The sequence below is a fragment of the Homo sapiens genome, chromosome X, assembly GCF_000001405.40.
Source record: "Homo sapiens chromosome X, GRCh38.p14 Primary Assembly".
NCBI lineage: Eukaryota > Metazoa > Chordata > Mammalia > Primates > Hominidae > Homo > Homo sapiens.
Window position 1 is genome coordinate 97,487,662 of NC_000023.11, and position 23,166 is coordinate 97,510,827.

A 23,166-nucleotide genomic window follows, 5' to 3' on the forward strand; every position below is an offset into this window, starting at 1 on the left:
TTTCCATAATGGCTGCATCATTTTACATTCCCACTAACAGTTGTATAAGGGTTCCAATTTCTTCACATCCTTAACAGTGCTTGTTACCTTTTCACATCCTTAACAATGCCTTTTACATTTTTTTTTTGTTGTTAAATAGTAGACATCCTAACTGGGGTGAGGTGACATCTCATTGTAGTTTTTGATTTGCATTTCCTTGATTAGTGATGTTGAGCATCTTTTCACATACCTGTTGGCCATTTGTATGTCTACTTTGGAGAAATGTCTATTCAAAACCTTTCCTTATTTTTTAAACTGGCTATTTGGGAGCTTTTTTGTTTTTTATTTTGTTTTGTTTCATTTTGTTTTTGAGATGGCGTTTCGCCCTTGTTACCCAAGCTGGAGTGCAATGGCACAATCTTGGCTCACCACAACCTCCACCTCCCGGGTTCAAGCGATTCTTCTGCCTCAGCCTCCCGAGTAGCTGGGATTACAGGCCTGCACCACCATGCCTAGTTAATTTTGTATTTTTATTAGAGATGGGGTTTCTCCATGTTGGTCAGGCTGGTCTTGAACTCCCAACCTCAGGTGATCTGCCTGCCTCGGCCTCCCAAAGTGCTGAAATTACAGGCATGAGCCACCATACCCAGCTGTTTTGTTTTTTTGATCTTGAGTTATTTGAGTTCCTTACGTATTTGACACATTTTGCATAGTTAGCCCTTTATCAGATATGCAGCTAGCAAATATTTTCTCTCATTTTTGTAAATTGCCTTTTCATTTTGATTGCTTGCTGTACAGAAGCTTTTTAGTTTTATGTAATCTCACTGTGTTTTTGCTTTTGCTGCTTATGCTTTTGGTGTCATATCCAAGAAATCATTGCCCAGACCAATACCATGATGCTTTTCCCCTTTGTTTTCTTCAAGGAGTTTTGTAGGTTTAGGTCTTACGTTTAAATCTTTAACCCATTTTTAGTTGATTTTTATATATAATGTGGGATGAAGGTCCAATTTCATTCTTTTGCATGTCCATATCCAATTTTCCCACTACCATTTGTTGAAGAGACTTTCCTTTTCTCATTCTGTGTTCTTGGCACCCCATACAAAGATCAGTTGACCATATATGCATGGATATATTTCTAGGCTCTCTATTCTGTTTCCTTGGTCTACATGTCTGTTTTTATGTCAGTCCCATATTTTTTAAATTGCTGAAGGTTTGTAATATATTTTAAAATAAGGAAGTGTGGCGAATCCAGCTATGTTCTTCTTTCTCAAGATTTCTTTGGCTATTCATGCTCTTTTGTAGTTATGAATTTTACGATGGGTTTTTCTATTTCTCTGAAAAATGCCATTGGGACATTTAAAGGGATTGCATTGAATCTATAGATTATCTTAAGTAGTATGGACATTTTAACAATATTAAGTCTTTCACTGAATATCTTTTCATTTATATATGTTGTCTTTAATTTGTTTCATCAACGTTATGTAGTTTTCGCCGTACAAGTCTTTCACCTCCTTGGTTAAATGTATTCCTAAGTATTTCATTCTTTGTGATACTATGCAAATGGGATTGCTTTCTCAGTTTTGTTTTCAGTACTTTATTGTTAATGTACAGAAATGCAATTGATTTTTGTATGTTGATTTTGTATCGTGCAACTTTGCTGAATTTTTTAATTAGTTTTAACAGTTTTTTGTGGAATATTTAGGGTTTTCTCTATGTAAGATCACGTGTCGGCAAACAGAGATAGTTTTACTTCTTTTTTTTTTCCTCCCAATTTTAATGTCTTTTATTTTTCTTTTTCTTGTCTAGTTGCTCCAGCTAGAGCTTCCAGTACTATCTTGAATATAAATGGTGAGGGTGGGCATTCTTTCCATTTCCTGATATGAGAAGAAAAACTTTGTGTTTTATCATTAGTTTGATATTAGCAGTGGGCTTTTCATATATGGCCTTAATTGTGTTGAGGTAAATTCCTTGTATGTCTAATTTATTGATAGTGTTTATCATGGAAAGGTGTTGAATTTTTTCAAATGCTTTTTCTGCATCTATTGGGATGATTGTGTGATTTTTATCCTTCATTCTATTAATGTGGTGTAGCACATTAATTGATTTGCATATGTTCAAGCCATCCTCACATATTAGGGATAAGTCCCATTTGATCATGATGTATGATTTTTTAGAACTTAGTGTTGAATTCGGTTTGCTAATATTTTCTTGGGAATTTTCACATCTGTTTTCATCGAAGATACTGGTCTGTAGTTTTCTTGTAGTGTCTGTGACTTTGTATTAGGGTAATACTGGCTTGATTGAATGAGTTTCGAAGTCTACTCTCTTAAAGTCTTTAAAAAGTGTTGGGGTTAATTCTTCATTAAATATTTGATAAAATTCACCACTGACACCATCTAATGCTGGATTTTTCTTTTTGCAGAGGGTTTTGATTACTGATTCAGTCTCCTTGTTTGTTATTGGTCTGTTTAGATTTTCCATTTCATCATGATTTACCCTTGGTAGGTTGTATATTTCTGTGAATATAACCATTGCTTCGAGATTATCCAATTTGTTGGTGTATAATTCTTCATAGTAGTCTCTTCTGATCCTGTTTATTTCTGTGGCATCAGTTCTAATGTCTCATCTTTCATTTCTGATTTTGAATCTTTTTTTTTTTTTTAGTATAAGGATTTTTCCATTTTGTTTATATTTTCAGAAAAAAACAATTTTCTGTTTCACTGATTTTTTTTCTACTGCTTTTCTGTTCTCTATTTCATTTATTTTGACTCTAGTCTTTGTTATTTCCTTGCTTCTGCTAATGTTGGGCTTCTCCTAAATTTGTTCTTTTTCTGGCTCCTTGAGGTATAACATTAGATTGTTTATTTGAGATCTTTCTACTTTTTTAATGTAGGCATTTTATCACCATAAATATCCCTCTTAGAATTGCTTTTGCTCTATCTCGTAAGTTTTGTTATGTTGTATTTTCATTTTTGCATGTCTTAAGATATTTTCTAATTTTTTTTTTAATTTCTTCATTGGCCCATTGGTTTTTAAAGAGTGTGTTGTTTCATTTCCACATATTTGTAAATTATCCAATTTTCCTTCTGCTATTAATTTCTAGTTTCATTCCACTATAGTCAGAAAAGATACTGTGTAGGATTTCAGTCTTAAATTCGTTGAGACTTTTTTTGTGACTTAACACGTGATATATTCTGGAGAATGTTCCATGTGTGCATGAGAAGAATGTGTATTTCACAACTGTTGGTTGAAATGTCTTCTGTATGTCTTTTAGTTCCTCTTGCTCTTAGTGTTGTTCAAGTCTATTGTTTCCTTATTGATTTTTTTTTTTGCCTGGATGTTCTATTCATTATCAAAAGTGGGATATGAATTATCTTACCAATACCATAGTGCTGTCTGTTTCCTACTTCAGATCTGTCAGTGTTTACTTTGTATATTTAGATGCTCTAATATTTGGTGTATATATGGATTTATAATTGTTATATCTTCCTGATGAATTGCTTTCATTATTATGTAATGACCTTTTTCGCCTCTATGTCGGTTTTTGACTTATAGTCTATTTTGTGTCACATAAAGTATAGCCACTCCTGCTCTCTTTTGGTTACCATTTGTGTGGAATATCTTTTTCTGTCTCTTTACTTTCAGGCTATGTGTGTCCTCAAAGCTAAGTGTTGTCTCTTATAGGTAGCATATAATTAGATATTGTTTATTTATCTATTCTGCCACTCTGTGTCTTTTGTTTGGGGAGTTTAATCCATTTGCATTTATTTATTTATTTTATTTTTTTTGAGACAGAGTCTTGTTCTGTTGCCCAGGCTGGAGTGCAGTGGTGCGATCTCGGCTCATGGCAGCCTCCGCCTCCTGGGTTCAAGTGATTCTCCTGTCTCAGCCTCCCAAGTAGCTGGGACTACAGGCGTGCACCACCACACCCGGCTAATTTTTGTATTTTTAGTACAGACAGGGTTTCACCATGTTGCCCAGGATGGTCTCGATCTCCTGACCTCATGATCCACCCAAAGTGCTGGGATTACAGGCGTGAGCCACCGCACCAGGCCTCCATTTACATTTCAAGTAATTATTGATAGGGAAGGACTTACTATTGCCCTTTTGTTGATTGTTTTCTGTTTCATAGTCTTTTTGTCCCTGTTTTCCTCTCTTGCTATCTTCTTTTGTGATTTGTTGATTTTTTGTAGTGATATGCTTTGGTTCCTTCTTCTATTTCTTTTGTGTATCTTCTATAGTTAATTTCTTTATGATTACCATGAAGCTTGCATAGATTGTCTTACAGTTACAGCAGTTCTATATTAAGCTGCTGACAACTTAACTGCACTCACATACAAAAACCTTCCACTTTTACTTCTCCCTCACCATACTCTGTTATTGATGTCATAGTTTAAATCTTTTTATATTGTGTATCCATTAACAAATTTGTGTAGTTATAATCTTAATATTTTTGTCTTTTAACTTTAATAGTAGAGTTTAAAGTTATTTACAGTCCACCATTATTGTAGTATCCGGGCTGGGCACAGTGGCTTCTAATCCCAGCACTTCAGGAGGCCAAAGTGGGCAAATTCATTGAGTCTAGGAATTCAAGACCAGCCTGGGCAACATGGCAAAACCCTGTCTCTATTAAAAATGCAAAAAATTAGCCAGGCATGGTGGTGCACAATTATATTCCCAGCTTCTCAGGAAGCTGAGGTGGGAGAATCAGCCGAGGCTGCAGTGAGCTGTGATCATGCCACTGCAGTCTAGCCTAGGCAATAGGAATGAGACCCTGTCTCAAAAAAAATTATCTATGTCTATATCTATATTATATATATATAGTATTCTGTGTTTGTCTGTATGCTTGCCCATACCAGTGTGTTGTATTCTTTCATATGCTTTTGTGTTACTGTTTTAGCATCTGTTCATTTCTACTGGAAGAACTCCCGTTAGCATCATGTCTAGTGGTGATGAACTCCCGTGCCTTTTGTTTGGAAAAGTCTTTATCTCACCTTCACTTTTGAAGGACAATTTTGCCAGATATAGTATTCTTGATTGGCATTTTTTTTTCTTTCAACACTTTGAATATTATAAGCTCACTGCCTTCTGGTCTGCAAGGTTTCTGCTAAGAAATCCACTGATAGTCTTATTGAGGACTCACTTTACATCACGAGTCACTTTTCTCTTGCTCCTTTAAAATTTTTCTTTGACTTTGTGCAATTTGATTATATTGTATCTCAGTGTAGACTTCTTTGGGTTTGTCTAATTTGGCATTCTTTGGGCTTCATGAATCTGGATATCCATTTCCTTGCCCAGATTTGAAATGTTTTCCTCCATGAGTTCTTTATATAAGCTTTTTCCCCTGACTATCTCTCTTCTCCTTTGAGATTCCCATAATGAATGTATTGGTCTGCTTGATGATGTTCAGTAAGTAGCTTAGGCTTTCTTCATTCTTTATCATTCTTTGCTTTTTGCTCCTCTGGCTACATAATTTGGATGACTTGTCTTCAGTTTCACTGATTCCTTCTGCTTAATCAAGTCTGCTGTTTAATCACTGTAGTGATTTTTCAGTTCAGTCACTGAACCAGAATTTCTGTTTGGTTATTTTTATTTATTTATTTATTTATTTATTCATTTATTTATTCATTTATTTATTGAGACGGAGTTTCACTCTTGTTGCCCAGGCTGGAGTGCAATGGCACAATCTCGGCTCACTGCAACCTCTGCCTCCCGGGTTCAAGCTATTCTCCTGCCTCAGCCTCCTGAGTAGCTGGGATTACAGGCATGCGCCACCATGCCTGGCTAATTTTTTATTTTTAGTAGAGACGGGGTTTCTCCATGTTAGTCAGGCTGGTCTCAAACTCCCAACCTCAGGTGATCTGCCTGCCTCAGCCTCCCAAACTGCTGGGATTACAGGCGTGAGCCACCGCACCCGGCCTGGTTATTTTTTTTTAAATAATTTCTACCTCTGTTAGGGCCAGATGTGGTGGCTCATGTCTGTAATCCAGCACTTTGGGAGGCCAAGGCAGGTGGATCACTTGAGGTCAGGAGATCGAGACCAGCCTGGCCAACGTGATGAGACACCATCTCTACTAAAAAAAAAAATTACAAAAATTAGCCAGTTGTGGTTGCACATACCTGTAATCCCAGCTACTGGGGAGGCTGAGGCAGGAGAATCTCTTGAGCCTGGGAGGCAAAGGTTGCAATGAGCCCGAGATTGTGCCACTGCACTCTAGTCTGGGTGACAGAGTGGGACTCCATCTCAAAAAAAAAGAAAAAGGCAACTCAAACAACAACAAAAAAACCAGCCTGAGCTGGGCATGGTGGCTCACACCTGTAATCCCAGCACTTTGGGAGTCTGAGATGCGTGAATCACTTGAGGTCAGGAGTTTGAGACCAGCCTGGCCAACATAGGGAAACCCCATCTCTACTTGAAAAACATATTTATATATATGTATGTATATATTTGTGTGTATATATATATATTTATATATATGTATATATTTGTGTGTGTGTATATATGTATACACACACACACACAGAAAAATTAGCCGGGCATGGTGTCCCATGTCTGTAGTCCCAGCTACTCGGGATGCTGAGGCAGGAGAATCTCTTTAACCAGGGAGGCGGAGGTTGCAGTGAGCTGAGATTGTGCTGCTGCACTTCAGCCTGGGCAACAGAGCGAGACTCTGTCTCAATAAATAAATAAATACATACATAATTTCTACCTCTGTTGACATTCTCATTTTGTTGCTGAATTATTTTCTTAATGTTGTTCAGTTGTCTATATTCTCTTGTAACTCACTGAGCTTCCTTAAGATGATTATTTTGAAATCTTTGTTAGCCTATTCATAGATCTCCATTTCTTTAGAGTTGTGTATTACGATTTAATTTGTTCCTTTAGTGTAATGTTTCACTGATTTTTCTTGTTTCTTATACTTTTGCACTGGTGTCTGCACATTTGAGGAAGCAGCCACCCTTCCCATTCTTTCTGGACTTGTTTAGACATGGAAAGAGCTTAACCAATTCACTAGGCTAGAGATTCTAGGAGCCTCTCAAACCTTTTCTATGAATGTGTCTTCTCTGGATTTGTGTGGGAGGATTCCTAATTAGATGGATTTACCCCTAGCACAATTCATAGAGCCATGCTAATGTCTTCTGAGGCAGGACAGAATCCAGCCCGACCCTGGTGGTTCACTGAGGCCAGATTGTTGGGAACATGTTCCATTTCTCTCCTATCACAGTGGAAGAAGCATCAGGCTCTGTGCCTTCTCTCAATCTTGTAGAGCTATGCTCACCACAGTAAGCTGCCTGCCCTTTTTCCTTTGTTCTTAATTGCCCTGAAACATCCAAGCTATTTCTTTTCTATCAGTGTCCCATGTGAGGTGAGATAGAAACTAGCCCTTCAGGCAGTGCACCAAAAGGCTGGTACATTGGAAGCATTCTCTACTCTGTATTTTCCCCTGAGAAAGAAACTGTGGGCCAAAGTGATATTTTTCAGTGCTGAGCTGTGATGGCTTGGGGGAAGGGGCTAATACTAGTAAAGTGAAATTGCTCCTTACTCATTTCAGTAGAGTTTTTTCAGTTTTGTGTTTCTCTGGTGTACTGCAACCTCTTAAAAGGATTCTGGTCTTCTCATAAAGGTATTGTGGTCTACATTGTTAAGTTGGTGTTTCTATGGGAGAACAAGAGATGGAACTTTCTATTTCACCATTTTGATGATATCAGCAAGCTATTATTTAAATGAGAAGTTTCCTTTACTTAGATGAGCAATATAATTTAATGCAAGTTTGTCTATGGATTTCTCCTTGAGTGACTACATTACAAAAGGCCATCTGGAATTCCCTTTCTACACATCACTGTTAAAGCAAAAAACTATATTTAAGTGGTACCAAGGTATCAGGATTCCCTGCAGACAGTTTGAGATCTAATATAAAATCAAAAACCCCTTATAGGCCACTGGTCTAAATGATGACAGTAAAAAATTCCCAAGACTATTAAGTTTTATTAATGAATATGATGGAAAATAAGATCTTGGAATGTGAATTAAATGTTTTTAAGGTGATGAGTGGGTAAGAAAGAGAGGTGATAAAAGTTTTTGAAAACTTGTTTTCAAAGCAATACTATTACATATTAAATATACAGTTTAAACTTTTCTCATCCTGCTGACAAATACATACCTGAGCCAAGATTACTGTTTTGTTTCATTTTAACCATTCCCCTACATGGTAATATCTATAGTGAATGACCATTTCTGGAGAGTTTTACTTTGATATGTTAGCACATCATTACCTGTTAGGTAGCCCCAAAATGTAAATAAATTATACCTCATTCCATATTGTCAAAACATAGAAACAGCAACAAAGATACCTAAATGAAAGAAGCTGTGATTGTTTTTCAAAACCAAAGAAGAGAAGTGTAAGAAAAGCATTGAATTTAAGGGGCAGAAACTATCCCAGAAAGTTACTGCTAGAATTCAAATACTAAAGAAAGTAATAGAATTATACCTTTATAAAGATCAAGGGTAACAAATTTGAATTGGTACCTTTTTTTTTTTTTTTTTTTTTTTTGAGAAGGAGTTTCGCTCTCGTTGCCCAGGCTGGAGTGCAATGGCGCGATCTTGGCTCACCACAACCTCCATCTCCCGGGCTCAAGAGATTCTCCTCCCTCAGCCTTCTGAGTAGCTGGGATTACAGGCATGTGCCACCACGCCCAGCTAATTTTGTATTTTTAGTAGAGACAGGGTTTCTCCATGTTAGTCAGGCTGGTCTCAAACTCCTGACCTCAGGTGATCCACCCACCTCGGCCTCCCAAAGTGCTGGGATTACAGGCGTGAGCCACCACGCCCAGCAAGTACCATTTTCATTCTTAAATTTGTTCATATGTTAAAAAAAAAGAAAACATAAGCATGCTTTAGTTTTCCATCTTCACATTAGGTAACACAATGAATGAATGAATATAGTTATTTTCTAATACTCTCACACAGATTGGTTCTTCCATGGGTAAATAGTTCTCTGTAGCCCTGAATTAGATTTTTTTTTTTTTTTTTTTTCCGAGACGGAGTTTTGCTCTTGTCACCAAGGGGGGAGTGCCATAGCACTCACCATGTCTCACCATGTTGGCCAGGCTAGTCTCGAACTCCTGACCTCAGGTGATCCGCCCACATCGGCCTCCCAAAGTGCTGGGATTATAGGCATGAGCCACTGCACCCAGCCATGAATTAGATTTTGATTGATGAAAAGGGAGATAATAATTCCAATAATCTTATGTTCCATAAATGAAATTTTAAAACTGATACATTTTTATATTTAAAAACTTCAAAATAAATAGAAAAATACAACTTTGAGTTGTAGTTTTTTTTAGTGGTCAATCTGATGAGCTTGGGCCCGTATAAGGTATGTTGGACAAGAAAACACTATCCTAATCAATGTTGACTTAACTGAATTCATTCAGATAAGTGGAAATATTGTTAGATTTGTTGACTGGAAGGAAGTCTGAGTTTGATTAGTCCAAAGGTGATTTGAGGAAAGGTGGTAAGCTGAACATGACCTCCCCTGAGTATTACTGAAAGGAAGGAGAATTTGAACCAAATTTTAAGATTTGGCCAGGACCAAATAAGATATCATTGCAGAAAATCTGTGCTATATGTCAATGACCCTTCAGAAAATAAAAAGTAAAGATAAAATGGAGTTGGCACTCCATCTCTGGCCTGTGTGTGCTGCCCCCACCCCCACGCCTCCCTTCTGTCTCTCAAGTTTTGAGATCACCCCTGTTAACCTCCTCTTCTCTTCCCTGGCTCAGCCAATTTGTAAGCTCTGATCACATTTTTTTTTTTTTTTACCACATTCTCTTTGTACCCTATCTTTTGCTTTCTTATAGTTGCTTAATATTGTGTAACGGAGGCCAGGCACAGTGGCTCATGTCTGTAATCCCAGCACTTTAGGAGGCCGAGTTTGGCGGATTACTTGAGGTTAGGAGTTACAGACCAGCCTGGCCAACATGATGAAACCCCATCTCTACTAAGAATACAAAAATTAGCGAGGTATATTGGCACATGGCTTTAATCCCAGCTACTTGGGAGGCTGCAGCAGGAGAATTGCTTGAACCCGGGAGTTGGAGGTTGCAGTGAGCCAATATCATGCCACTGGTATATTGGAAGCATTCTCTACTCTGTCTTTTCCCCTAAGAAAGAAATTGCGGGCCAAAGTGTGTAAGGGAAGGGTTAAAATGAGTGAGTGAGTCTCTCTCTCTATATGTATATATATATCATATAACAGTCTTTTTCTAATTCCAAGGAATAGAGGCATGCTAAAGTTTTTAAAGGTAATATAGGGTTAAGAAAATATGAGGAAGAAATATCACAGTGGTCTCCCAGCCATGGCTCATCAAAACTAGAATGTTCTGACTACAACAGTGGCTCTGGAAGTCTGACAGCACCTCTGACATATTGACCACCCTGCTGGTAGTCTTCCTTTAGGAGCAGGTTTGTGCTTGATTCCAGTTGTAACTTACTAATCCTTCTATTCTTATGATTTGCCATTATGGTGTCTCAGCTACTGCATTTTTATTTTTCTGTCTATCTAATTCTTCTTTTATTTCCTTAACAATGAATGAACTCTCTGTTCTCCTTTCTATATCAGGGTATCTGCTTATTTATGGTTTCTACTGCCATGTGGCTTTTAACATCCTCTCTCTCTTAGCTTCTGCTTCTGCCTAACATACATATCCGTTTCTGCATGTGTCTCATTAAGTTACCCCAAGAAAAATTTGGTTTGTTTGGTTCAGAGCAGAGATTTTCTGCTGGAAAAATCTCTCATGGCAATCTATAGATAGTTTTCTTTGGTACGTACTCATTATCTAATCTCTTATGATTGGGGTCATACGAAACCAAACATTGTGACCTATATGTAAAGTACCTCTTTAGCAGGAGACTCTAAGGTATCTCAGAAGAGAGTAGTACAACAGAGATATTATTTACAGAATATTCTGTATATTGAGCCCTTACATCAGGAGACTTGAGGTACTAGATGTTTACTTTTACTATATATCATTGAATCAAAGATAGTATCAATCATAAGATATTACATTAATTTATTTACCATTGAGAAAGGAAAAGATGCTGCCAATGAAATCACAGCACACCAATGATTGTTAGATGCATCTCAGTCTCAGAGATGTTAAAATGTGAAAAAAGTACATTTTTAAAAGATGTAATGTGGTGTCAGTAGCATATCTGAGATTGTCTGAGGATCAAAGCAGGTATAGTGAACCCCCAGAGAAGTTCCCTGAGGACTGACTCCTAGAGTGGGGTAAATGCTAAAGGTTACAGGTTGGATTACTAATCTGACAGACCAGAGGGTAGTGTCTAGAGACTAGATAGCCAGCTATCTGTCTGCAAGTGGAGAGGAGGCCAGTCACTGGTCCAGAGTGTGGTTTGCCTCAGGGACTTGGCAGATATCAGAAGGTAGATCCAAGGAGAAGGTGAATTATTCCTGTATTGATTTAAATGACATGAATATATTGGGAATTTCTGTTTCTCTTAATTCCTCATTTGTGTTCTGGGATCAATTCAGTTGTGTCTCTTATCTTCTAGAATATCTCCTTGTTTATTACTTGTACATTAACTATATCTCTGGATGTAGGGTCATTTTATAAACCAAATGCTGTATTTTGTCCATGAGGCACCTAAAATAGCACAGCCAGGGATAGCTAAGCTTACAGTTGTGATACATTAATGAATAACCTCTGGTTGTTGACTCCCTTTTTGTTATTGGGAGAGTTAATGTAGCTTTTTTCAAATTTTTAGATTCAGCGGGTACATGTGCAGGTTTGTTGCATAGGTATATTGAATGGTGAGATTTGGGCTTCTAGTGTACTTGTCACTCAAATAGTGACCATTGTACTTAATAGATTTGGAGATTTCTCAGAGAACTAAAAATAGACCTACCATTCAGCCCTGCAGTCCCACTATTGGGCATCTACCCAAAGGGAAAGAAATCATTCTATGAAAAAGACACCTGTACTCATATGTTTATTGCAGTACTACTCACAATAGCAAAGTCATGGAATCAACCTAAATATCCATCAACAGTTGATTGGATAAAGAAAATATGGTATATGTACACCATGGAATACTATGCAGCCATAAAAAAGATAACTTTAATTATAATTATGAATCAACATGTCTTTCTTTCCATTTCTACTATGTAAATAGAGCAGAAATCCCACATTAATGTGATTAGCATAGAAGAAAGTCCTCACTGAATTCCCCTTGCTCTCTTACCAACTGGCTGGACATGGCATAGGTGGTTATCTAAGAATACTCCCATGAATCTTCACAGCATTCAGAGATCAGTTTACTCTGGGTTTGTTAGATATGCGATATGGGCTAGCTGTTTGTTAGAACCACATTTCCCAATGTGTTTCCACTGAACACTTATTTTTTCTGATGTTGCTACATGTCTTGTGTAAAAAGCATTGGGTAAAAGTGCTGGGTAAGTTAAAGGGCTCTGATAACTCTATATAATGTATGTAGATTTCTGGCTGAATCTTTGGGTGTTTACTGCTCATGGGTTCCACTGCTATTACAGCCCAACACAGCTGGTATGATTTGCAGGTTGGTCTCTTGGGGCCCTTTCACCTTCTGAGCTCTGAAAGCCTAAGATAAGCAATTTTTCCTTTGTCCTTCAAGATGACTGTGGTCTCAGCTTAGACTCAAGAGAACTCGTTTGAAATTGAACAAGAGCAAGCCTAGCTCAAGAGGATAGCAAAGTGCCTAGTTTTATTTGTCACTGCACTAGAAACTTCCTAAGGAATAATTTTTAAAAGGGGGCCAGTTTTGTTTCTGAGACTCAACTAGACTTTCACTCATGCTCTGGGGGAAGGAATTCAAGTCTCCAACATTGTCCTTATTGTACACCTGTAGGGCCAGACTGATTATCCTAAATTTTACATAGCCTAAGAATGAGCTTAGATTTCAAAATAAAAAGCTTTCTCTGCTTTTGCGTAGAACATTTCTATCTATTATTTCAGTTAATTTATCCTTGTTATCAATATTGAAGTACCGCTTGCTATACATATTCTAGACATGGGTAACAATGTCTAGAAGTACACTCTGATTTCACAACAGCCATTCAAGGAGATATATATATATATATATATATATATATATATATATATATCCTTGCAAGTGCATTCTAGGGCTGCTGGGACATGTGTTCTTAAATCCTCCTTTGCCAGTTCTCCAAATATGCCAAATTGTTTTGAAATGGCATTCTTGTCTTGTCTTGTTGAATCTACACTTCTATTCCTTCCTTTTGCTTTTTATTCCAACCTTCCATTTTCTATCCTTTAATTAAAAAGATGGCTAATATATGGGAGATGTTGTAGTCCGTTGTTGTCTAAAATGAATTTAGCAGACACTCCCCCACCATTCCCCCTCCCCAAGTTCAGCATCAGGAATAAAAGTCTCATCAGTCCTTTTGGCAGCATTTAAGTGAATGGCCCCCAGTGGCTTTATGCTTGCTAATTTGAGTACTCTTTTTACGTACAGAGCTAGTCAGATTGACAGACCACACTGTACGAAGATATATACTAGTCTTTGAGTCATAGATTTTGTAAATAAACTGAGAACAGTGGCTGAAAATCAGATTACCTGAAAGTCTGGAAGGAAAAAGGCATAGAATGACCTCATCTAGTCTCTTTTCAAAAGCACTATATATATTTCAAATTTTAGAGTTTCTAGAGACAATTAGCAGGCAGTAGTTGCAAGAATAGGCAGAACCCCTGTGAGATGTATAAGCTGTATGATCTTCATTAACTTATATCTAAAAGTTTAACAAACATATACTGACATTATTTTTAAAAGACAAGTATGTTAAGGAATTTGTCTTCTACATAGTGACAGGTATCAAAGTGAAGAATATGGCCTTTTGTTTTTTTCTTACTATATACTAAAATGTTGCTTTATATTAAAAGATCGTAATTTATTTCCATGAATCAAATTCTGTACTTAAAACTGACTTCTGTTTATTTATATACTGTTGTGTGATAGAAATTCTCTTGGGGGAGGCAATAGAAATATTACATGCCTTTTAATAAAGCGGGCTTTTAAAATAATTTAATTCAACTTTTCACCTCTTATGAAATTTTTGAAAAGATATTTTCTAATTTATTTTATTTTATTATTTTTTATTTTTGAGACAGAGTCTCACTCTGTTGCCCAGGCTGGAGTGCAGCATCGTGATCTCGGCTCACTGCAACTTCCGCCTCCTGGGTTCAAGCAATTCTCCTGCCTCAGCCTCCCGAGTAGCTGGGATTACTGGCATCCACCACCAAGCCCAACTAATTTTTGTCTCTTTAGTAGAGACAGGGTTTCGCCATGTTGGCCAGGCTGGTCCCAAACTCCTGACCTCAGGTGATCCACCCACCTTGGCCTCCCAAAGTGCTGGGATTACAAGCGTGAGCCATCGTGTCCAGCCTTATTTTTTTTTATTTTAAATAGAGCTCTCCAAATAATGTCTGTTTTGTATTGAAATGAATGAATTCATGAACTTGCTTTCTTCGCAGCATGAGGGACTAACAGCTAGAATAAAAATAATCAACCTAATATTTCTTGTTGCTGGAAAATAATTATGAGAATATTACACAGAGGAAGCCATGCTTAAAATAAAGGCTTCATATTGCATTTAAAACTCAGGCGGGACTTTCAAGGATTCTGTTTAGTAGAATAATATATTGATGAACCCTTGGAGAACCAATTATGTTGTTTCACATGAATTACAAATGCATCATTTAGCTGTATTATAGTCTTACATGTGTCCTTTACAATTAATCACCATTAAATGTTAGAAATGTAAAATTTAAGAGGCAAAGAAAGCATACTTCTTTAACAAAGTGGCCCAAACAAATACCAGTATTTTAATTTGAGGTCTGTAACAGGTCTACAGATTTTATTTTCTCATTTTGCAAGATCAGTGTATGAATCTGAGTTCTTTTAATAGATTTTTCTTGCAAAATCTTATTGTTAATTGCAAATGTAAGTTGTGACAGTAATTTTTAGTATACCACTTTAGACTTACTTCTGGAATTTGAGCAACAGAAACATATTATTAGAACTTTTTATTATTTCTGTAGCTATCTTTTCAAATATTTCCAAAACGTATGGCTTTTTAAGCCTTTGCCTCTGCAAGTCACAATTTCAAGTAGGCGCTGAAATTCTAGTAACGTGAGCAGTGCAACAGTACATTGAGTCTTACCAGTAAGTTTTAGTGAATTATTTAGGAAGTGAACGTTGATTCCCTTATGAGTCAGTCCAGCCTCTTTCTGAAAATAGTGTTGTTCCCATTATGTGTACCATTTTGCAGGAAAATATTGTATTCCAAGGAACTGGGTGTTATCAGTAATTAAGTAGGCAGAACCCATAGATATTGAATAGTTTAAGTTGTAAATGTGATAAACTTCTATAATACAAATATTTGTGGACAGAAAATGCTGTGAGATATGGAAGCACAAAGTAGAAGTAGCATTTATGAACTGTTACTAAGTTCCAGACATTTTACTAAGTGCTGAGGATACTGAGATAAATAAGAAATAATCCCTTTCCTCGGGAAATTATACCAGTGGTAGAAATACTCCAAAGGGCCAACAGTGAAGGAATCACAATGAATTGACATATTATGTACTAAATAGATCTGCTCACATCCTGAGGTCTCCAGGCAAGGTTTACATGCACTTGAACTGCCCTGCATAATTGCTATTCTGCTGACAAAAGTATAGGTGTGGTATGGTAGAGCTCAAAGGACTCTGAGAAGTCATATAGTCCAAATCCTTCATTTTCCAGAAGAGGAGAACCAGGCCCAGAGAGGGTGAAGGGATTTTCTCCAGGTCATGTAGCAAACTAACGACAGTTGGGACTATAATGCAGATTTCTTGATCCTCAGTCCAATCTTTCAAGTGGAGATAACCTCAAACCTTTTTGTTTCCCCATTCTCTACTTTAAGCAATGGCACAAGAAGTCCATGGGAAAATGAAATTCCCTAAATGGGGAAAAGAGGACCTTGATAGAACGCTCATGAGATCAATAAAGAAATTAAAGGACAGGGTGAAAAAATGTTTAAAAGTATGTAGGGAGCACATATAGACCAGAAAGAAAATTAAGAAAATCCCAGTGGCAAAAATAAGAGAATTGCAAAGAAAGGGCTGAAATAATTATCCAAAAACAATTCTTTTTATGGGTAAACAGGCTAAAATGCCATAGGTCTAATTTTATGCATTCAACCTGCTTCAGAATTTTTTTTCAAACTAAATAGTCAGCTATGTTAAGTAGCCTCACATTAAATGGAAGAACTCTCTATTATTTAGCACATTTGTATAGTTGCAACGTAGTGATGAGTGATGTGTCTAATGATGGCCCCAAGACAGTGTAATGCCCCAATGTACCTTTTGAGCTATTGAAAAATATTTCTATTATGTTCAGCCTAGTTTTATTTTTAACTATATTTAATATTCAAAATCTTGGAAATGGGAGCTATGTTTATAATATCTCTGGCAATTATCTATAAATACATCTAAGTTGATCGCAGCACTTCATATCTTAGATAGGCTGTATAGTAGAGACTTTACTGTAACGAGAAAGATCCTGAATTGTTACCCTACTTGTCTTCCCAGATGTTTTCTTTGTTAGGCTTTTTGGGATTTCTGATTTTTCTTGCTCTTTTTCTTATAAAATGTGAAATATATAGCCTGTGATAATGCTTGGCTGCCCTGCCCAATTATTGACCAATGTCGATCCAATTATGCTTTTAAAAGTATATATTATGTAAATAGATTATTTTACCTTCTGCTGCCTTATAAATCTTTTTTTGTACAGCAGCAAGGGAAGATTATAATGTCATTGGCTGTCAAAATGCCCTTTTCATGTAAGTCAGCTGCCAGGCAAGGATCCTACATCTGTTTTCTAGCATCCATATAAATGTCTGTGATAAATAAGTCATTGCTCACTGGAGCTGCCTTTGTGAAGCAGATCCTGTACTTACTGTTTCTTTCACATGCAAAATGACAGCAGTCAACCTAATTGACTATTACTTGGTCAGTTTCTGTGTCAGAAGTGATGCCAGGTAAGTAGGAGAAATCCAAACTTAATGCATTTCTGTTTAAACCCAGAAAGATTTAGTAATAGAAAAAACAGCACCAATTTCAGGTTTTTCAGAGATGAGTGTGTTCCCAAAGGATGAACTTGACACTACTGCATTCTTTCTCACAACCTAAACTGGATTCTTCTATGAATCTCTGAGTGAATTCTTAGTAGACACATTGACATGGTATAAAATACATCACACGGCTGTAATAAACATAGGTTAGAATTGTGGTTCAGTTTTCAGCCAAATGCCAGGATACCATTTTCATATGTAGTCTTTCCTAATTGGAAATCTAGAGGATGGGGTACAAAATAGTCATCCTAATCTGTTCAAACATCAATGGACAATTATGTCTCTAAAATTCTCAATACTTTGCAATTAAAGAGTTTTTGATTCCTACATTGCAGAGCAGGCCTCTTCTTCTGTGACTGATGCTGCCCTCTCTTTTCTATGTCATCTCTGCTTTGGAATCATCATCATTACGGGGCATGATACCAGTCATGTTAGGCCATGCTGCTGACAATGGTTACTTTCAACAAGGGGGAGTAACCAGGGAAAGGACATCCATCATTATGTAATGTAGGGGAAAAAACCCAAAGACTCAGAAGCCATGTTAACAAACACAGCTGGAAGCAAGGAGGCATTTGAGTAGGATTACAAACATCTTAGATTGTGCAGATTAGTACTAGATTTAGGGAAAACATGAATTGAACAACCTCTTTTGCACAAATGAGCAACCTGGAGTTTGCAGTAATGGAGCCAATAGCCTCATCACATTTTGAATCCATTTGGATGTCATGTAAAGAATGAACATATGCAGTACTTAATAAAGAAAGGTCAATTCTGCCATGGTGATCACTGAAGCATAATGCAGCAAATGAGGTAGGGCTTTTTTTTTTTTTTAACTCATCAATCCTAGAACATTTAAATTTATCTTTTCAGTAAGTTGAGGGATTTTTTTAAATCTCCTGCATCTGTTATAACCTAAATGAACAGCAGTTCAAAGCCAACTCCACACCTGTACTGACATACTAAAAATGTCAAATAATTTGTATAAAAATGCTGAGATGCAGTTTCACTAACAGTCTGTTTTGTCAGTGTCCTCCCTATTTATCAGATTCTAAGAGGATTGTTGGGTTGATGTGGCTCTGTATATTTCCAATTCCCTCCTATTTTTGGATTGTACTGCTTTGATTATAGTTAACAACCAACCTTGCAAGAATTCAAGATTTGTCATAGCTACAATACTTTTTCCACCTCATAGCTTTAACAGTGGCATTTGTATGTTACCCAAACCAAACCACTGAGTTCATCATTTTCATCCAAAGAAGAGTAGCTTCCTTGATTTTCAGCATAATGTTTCTGGCTATCTAGTGCCTTTTTTTTTTTTTTTTTTTTTTTTTTTTTGAGATGGAGTCTCATTCTGTCGCCCAGGCTGGAGTGCAATGGCGCCATCTTGGCTCACTGCAACCTCTGCCTCCCAGGTTCAAGCAATTCTCCTGTCTCAGCCTCCAGGGTAGCTGAGACTACAGGCGCACGCCATGAAGCCCGGCTAATTTTTGCATTTTTTAGTAGAGATGGGGTTTCACCATATTGGTCAGGCTGGTCTGGAACTCCTGACCTCAGGTGATCCGCCCACCTTGGCCCCCGAAAGTGCTGGGATTAGAGGCGTCAGCCACCATGCCCAGCCCTTTTTTTTTTTTTTTTTTTTCAGATGGTAAACTAAAAGGAAATAAAATTGTAACCTCAGCTGGTGCCATAATTCTTTCTTGGCTTATAGTTTCTGAAAGGTGTTGAAACGATTACATATTTATCCATGAGTTCCAAAATTGCCCCTCTAATTCAAGTCATTAGAACCTTCTTCCACCTACAACTCATTTGAACTGTTTTTCATTAAAAGTCATGTCCAAGAGTCAGTTCGAGTGTCACGTTATTTGGTCATTCCAGCTTTCCTCCTGAGTCTTGTAACCCTGACTATCATTAGTGCTGTATATAGTTCTGTCCACTTGTCTCCTTTTCTTATCCAGTAGTTCTTGGAGGGCATCAACTATGCTATCTTTGTTGTTTTCACATTGCTTATACATTGTGGAGATTGAATACATTTTTGATTTTTAACAAACGTTCAATGTGCTCTTACTAAAGCTTGGCAATGACCTAGATCAGGGGTTTGCCAACTATGGTCAGTGGGCCAAATCCAGCCCATGGACTAGAGCTAAAATGTTGTTTATATCTTTAAAGAGTTGTAAAAACAAAGAAGAATATACAGCAGACACCATATGTGGCCCACAAAGGCTAAAATATTTGCCATCTGGCCCTTCACAAGGAAAATGTTGCTGGCCTTTCTTCCAGATGCTGAGGATACACCAGTGAACAAAACCGACAAAAAAAAAAAAAAAAAAAAAAAAATCCCTACCTTCAGAGAGCATAAATTCTATTTTTTTACAACAATTTTATGCAGAATACGCATCTTATTTTTGTAAATATGCACAATATTTACATATAGTACATACTCAATATTTGTGAAATGAATGAATAAGTCATAGAGTCCATCATCCAATATTATATAATATTGGCAAATATTTCCATATGATGTAATAAAATGTTGCATTTTTTAAATCTTTATATGAAGAATTTTTCCCTAGATAATTTTTAGACCAAAAACTCAAACACTACTTACTTGTCAAGACATTTTATTCTGGTACTTAGTAATGATTTCCCATCTTAATGTAACTTTTATTCATGATGAGGTCCTGATTATCTAGCCTCCTTATGAGAGGTAATCATAATTATATTTGATTCTGAAAGCTTTCTGAAATGGTGATTCTTTCATAAGAGATCATTTTGTATACGTGACAGTTAAAACAATGAGTTAGTTTTTCAGAGTTTCTATCCTTGAATTCTACAAGTTTGTGATGTTTATAGCTTGAATTCAGATAAAACCATTTTGCTCCACATTTGAAACGACAAATCTTTTGCATTAGACTCAGAGTTGACTAAAACTATGGCAGCTTTTCATAAAGTCAGGCTATAGATGTCCCTAATTCCCCCACAGAGCCCACAGCCCTTTGAAAGTGATGATAGAATACTGGGGATGGATCAGAGAGTGCTGAGAGGAGAGTGGAAGGGAAGAAGGGACAAAGGGAAAGGAATCCAGAGTGGGAAGAGTTGGATTCGTAGAGCCAGCAGATGGTGTTGGTGATAAAGAAGATTACGTGACTCATTTCTGTAACCCATGAGTGTCAAAGTTCTCCACTCAGTGCCATGTCTCCATCCCATTACCCCCACCTAAATAAGTTATCTGTTCTAACACCCATCTGTCCCCACACCAAACCATCATTACCAGCAAGCAATTTCTTGTACTGTCCTTTATCTTTTAAATATTAAAAATTAGAAGTAAATGAGATGTGAGATCTAAAAAAAAAATGACATGACCTTTTATTTATTTCCACTGGTCTTTTAATCTAGGCTGCCCTTACTCCTCATAGACTATACACTGCCTCTTAGATACTACACTGCTATTAGTCTAAATACTTTGCTTTATTATGGAACTGCTCATTTCTTATTCCTTGCATAGATTTAGGGTTGATAAACTGAGAGTTTAAAATGCAGTAATGGAGAATCTTAATTATAAATGAAGGAAATTGAAACATACTACTGTATGTGCTGATTTACTTTCAGATTCTTGACCTTTGTCAAGACTAATGAGATTACACATCTAGTATAGAGAATGGATAGAAATTTTAATAGACCTGCCTAATTTACATTGTTAGGAATTCTGTAAAACTGAGAGTTATGCCAGCAAACCTACATGTGCTGTCTTTTTAATTGCATTTCTCCCCACCACCAGCCCACCCTCATTCCCTAATATCTGTGGTTAGTACCTATGGAGTCATTACTTACATTATGAAGTGACAAACATAGGAAAGCATGGCTTTGTTCTCTGAATGCAGATAACTCATATCCATCAAAGTTTCTAATTTACAGAGCTTTCCTTTGAAGGAGGCTAGAATGCTGAGTAATGATGAAAAAGCAACATTTGTTAAATCTGATTTGGCGCAGGACTTCTTTTTCTACAAAGCAGTCTTTCATAATACCAGCTTGAATCTAACTATTTCTCTTACGTAGTATAGGGGGAAAGAAATATCTTTTCTTCCCATCTTAGATTCATAGCTAGGACCCCTTAACAACAACAATAACAACAACAACAAAAAAAAAACAGATTACCCGACTACCAAGAGAAAAGCATACAAAGTTATTTATTTATTTATTTATTTATTTATTTATTTATTTATTTATTATTTTTTGAGATGGAGTCTCGCTCTGTCGCCGAGGCTGGAGTGCAGTGGTGCGATCTTGGCTCACTGCAACCTCCGCCTCCCAGGTTCAAGCAATTCTCCTGCCTCAGCCTCCTGAGTAGCTGGGATTACAGATGTGCACCACCATGCCTGGCTAATTTTTGTATTTTTAGTAGAGATGGAGTTTCACCGTGTTGACGAGGCTGGTGTTGAACTCCTGACCTCAGGTGATCCACCCACCTTGGCCTCCCAAAGTGCTGGGATTACAGGCGTAAGCCACTGTGCCCAGCCCAAATTTATTTAATATACGTAAATTTTATGTGACACAGGAAATTTAATTAGGAAATAAAGACCCAAAGAAACAGGAAAACCTGTGTGTTCTTTTTTTTTTTTTTTTAAATTGGCATTCATGTTGCTTTTTTTTTTTTTTTTTTTTTTTTTTTACTATTAGGAACTTTTATTATTATTATACTTTAAGTTTTAGGGTACATGTGCACATTGTGCAGGTTAGTTACATATGTATACATGTGCCATGCTGGTGTGCTGCACCCATTAACTCGTCATTTAGCATTAGGTGTATCTCCTAATGCTATCCCTCCCCACTCCCCCCACCCCACAACAGTCCCCAGAGTGTGATGTTCCCCTTCCTGTGTCCATGTGTTCTCGTTGTTCAATTCCCATCTATGAGTGAGAACATGTGGTGTTTGGTTTTTTGTCCTTACGATAGTTTACTGAGAATGATTATTTCCAATTTCATCCATGTCCCTAAAAAGGACATGAACTCATCATTTTTTATGGCTGCATAGTATTCCATGGTGTATATGTGCCACATTTTCTTAATCCAGTCTATCATTGTTAGACATTTGGGTTGGTTCCAAGTCTTTGCTATTGTGAATAGTGCCGCAATAAACATACGTGTGCATGTGTCTTTATAGCAGCATGATTTATAGTCCTTTGGGTATATACCCAGTAATGGGTTGGCTGGATCAAATGGTATTTCTAGTTCTAGATCCCTGAGGAATCGCCACACTGACTTCCACAATGGTTGAACTAGTTTACAGTCCCACCAACAGTGTAAAAGTGTTCCTATTTCTCCACATCCTCTCCAGCACCTGTTGTTTCCTGACTTTTTAATGATCACCATTCTAACTGGTGTGAGATGGTATCTCATTATGGTTTTGATTTGCATTTCTCTGATGGCCAGTGATGATGAGCATTTTTTCATGTGTCTTTTGGCTGCATAAATGTCTTCTTTTGAGAAGTGTCTGTTCATATCCTTTGCCCACTTTTTGATGGTGTTGTTTGTTTTTTTCTTGTAAATTTGTTTGAGTTCATTGTAGATTCTGGATATTAGCCCTTTGTCAGATGAGTAGATTGCGAAAATTTTCTCCCATTCTGTAGGTTGCCTGTTCACTCTGAAGGTGGTTTCTTTTGCTGTGCAGAAGCTCTTTAGTTTAATTAGATCCCATTTGTCAATTTTGGCTTTTGTTGCCATTGCTTTTGGTGTTTTAGACATGAAGTCCTTGCCCATGCCTATGTCCTGAATGGTAATGCCTAGGTTTTCTTCTAGGGTTTTTATGGTTTTAGGTCTAACGTTTAAGTCTTTAATCCATCTTGAATTAATTTTTGTTTAAGGTGTAAGGAAGGGATGCAGTTTCAGCTTTCTACATATGGCTAGCCAGTTTTCCCAGCACCATTTATTAAATAGGGAATCCTTTCCCCATTGCTTGTTTTTCTCAGGTTTGTCAAAGATCAGATAGTTGTAGATATGC

General features: G+C 37.0%; 1 protein-coding gene across 1 annotated transcript in view, besides 1 other annotated feature; it reads left to right on the forward strand.

Moving 5' to 3' along the window:
• Positions 1-23,166, forward strand: part of DIAPH2 (diaphanous related formin 2) — a 920,156-nt gene that overhangs the window by 802,820 nt on the left and 94,170 nt on the right. The gene's annotated exons all lie outside the window — the stretch shown is intronic.
• Positions 16,543-17,412: an enhancer, noted in NCBI's record as "OCT4-NANOG hESC enhancer chrX:96759203-96760072 (GRCh37/hg19 assembly coordinates)". NCBI's record gives its function as "activates a minimal SCP1, AML or CMV promoter by ChIP-STARR-seq in naive and primed H9 embryonic stem cells {active_cell/tissue: H9 hESC(naive and primed)}" and the evidence as "EXISTENCE:reporter gene assay evidence [ECO:0000049][PMID:30033119]".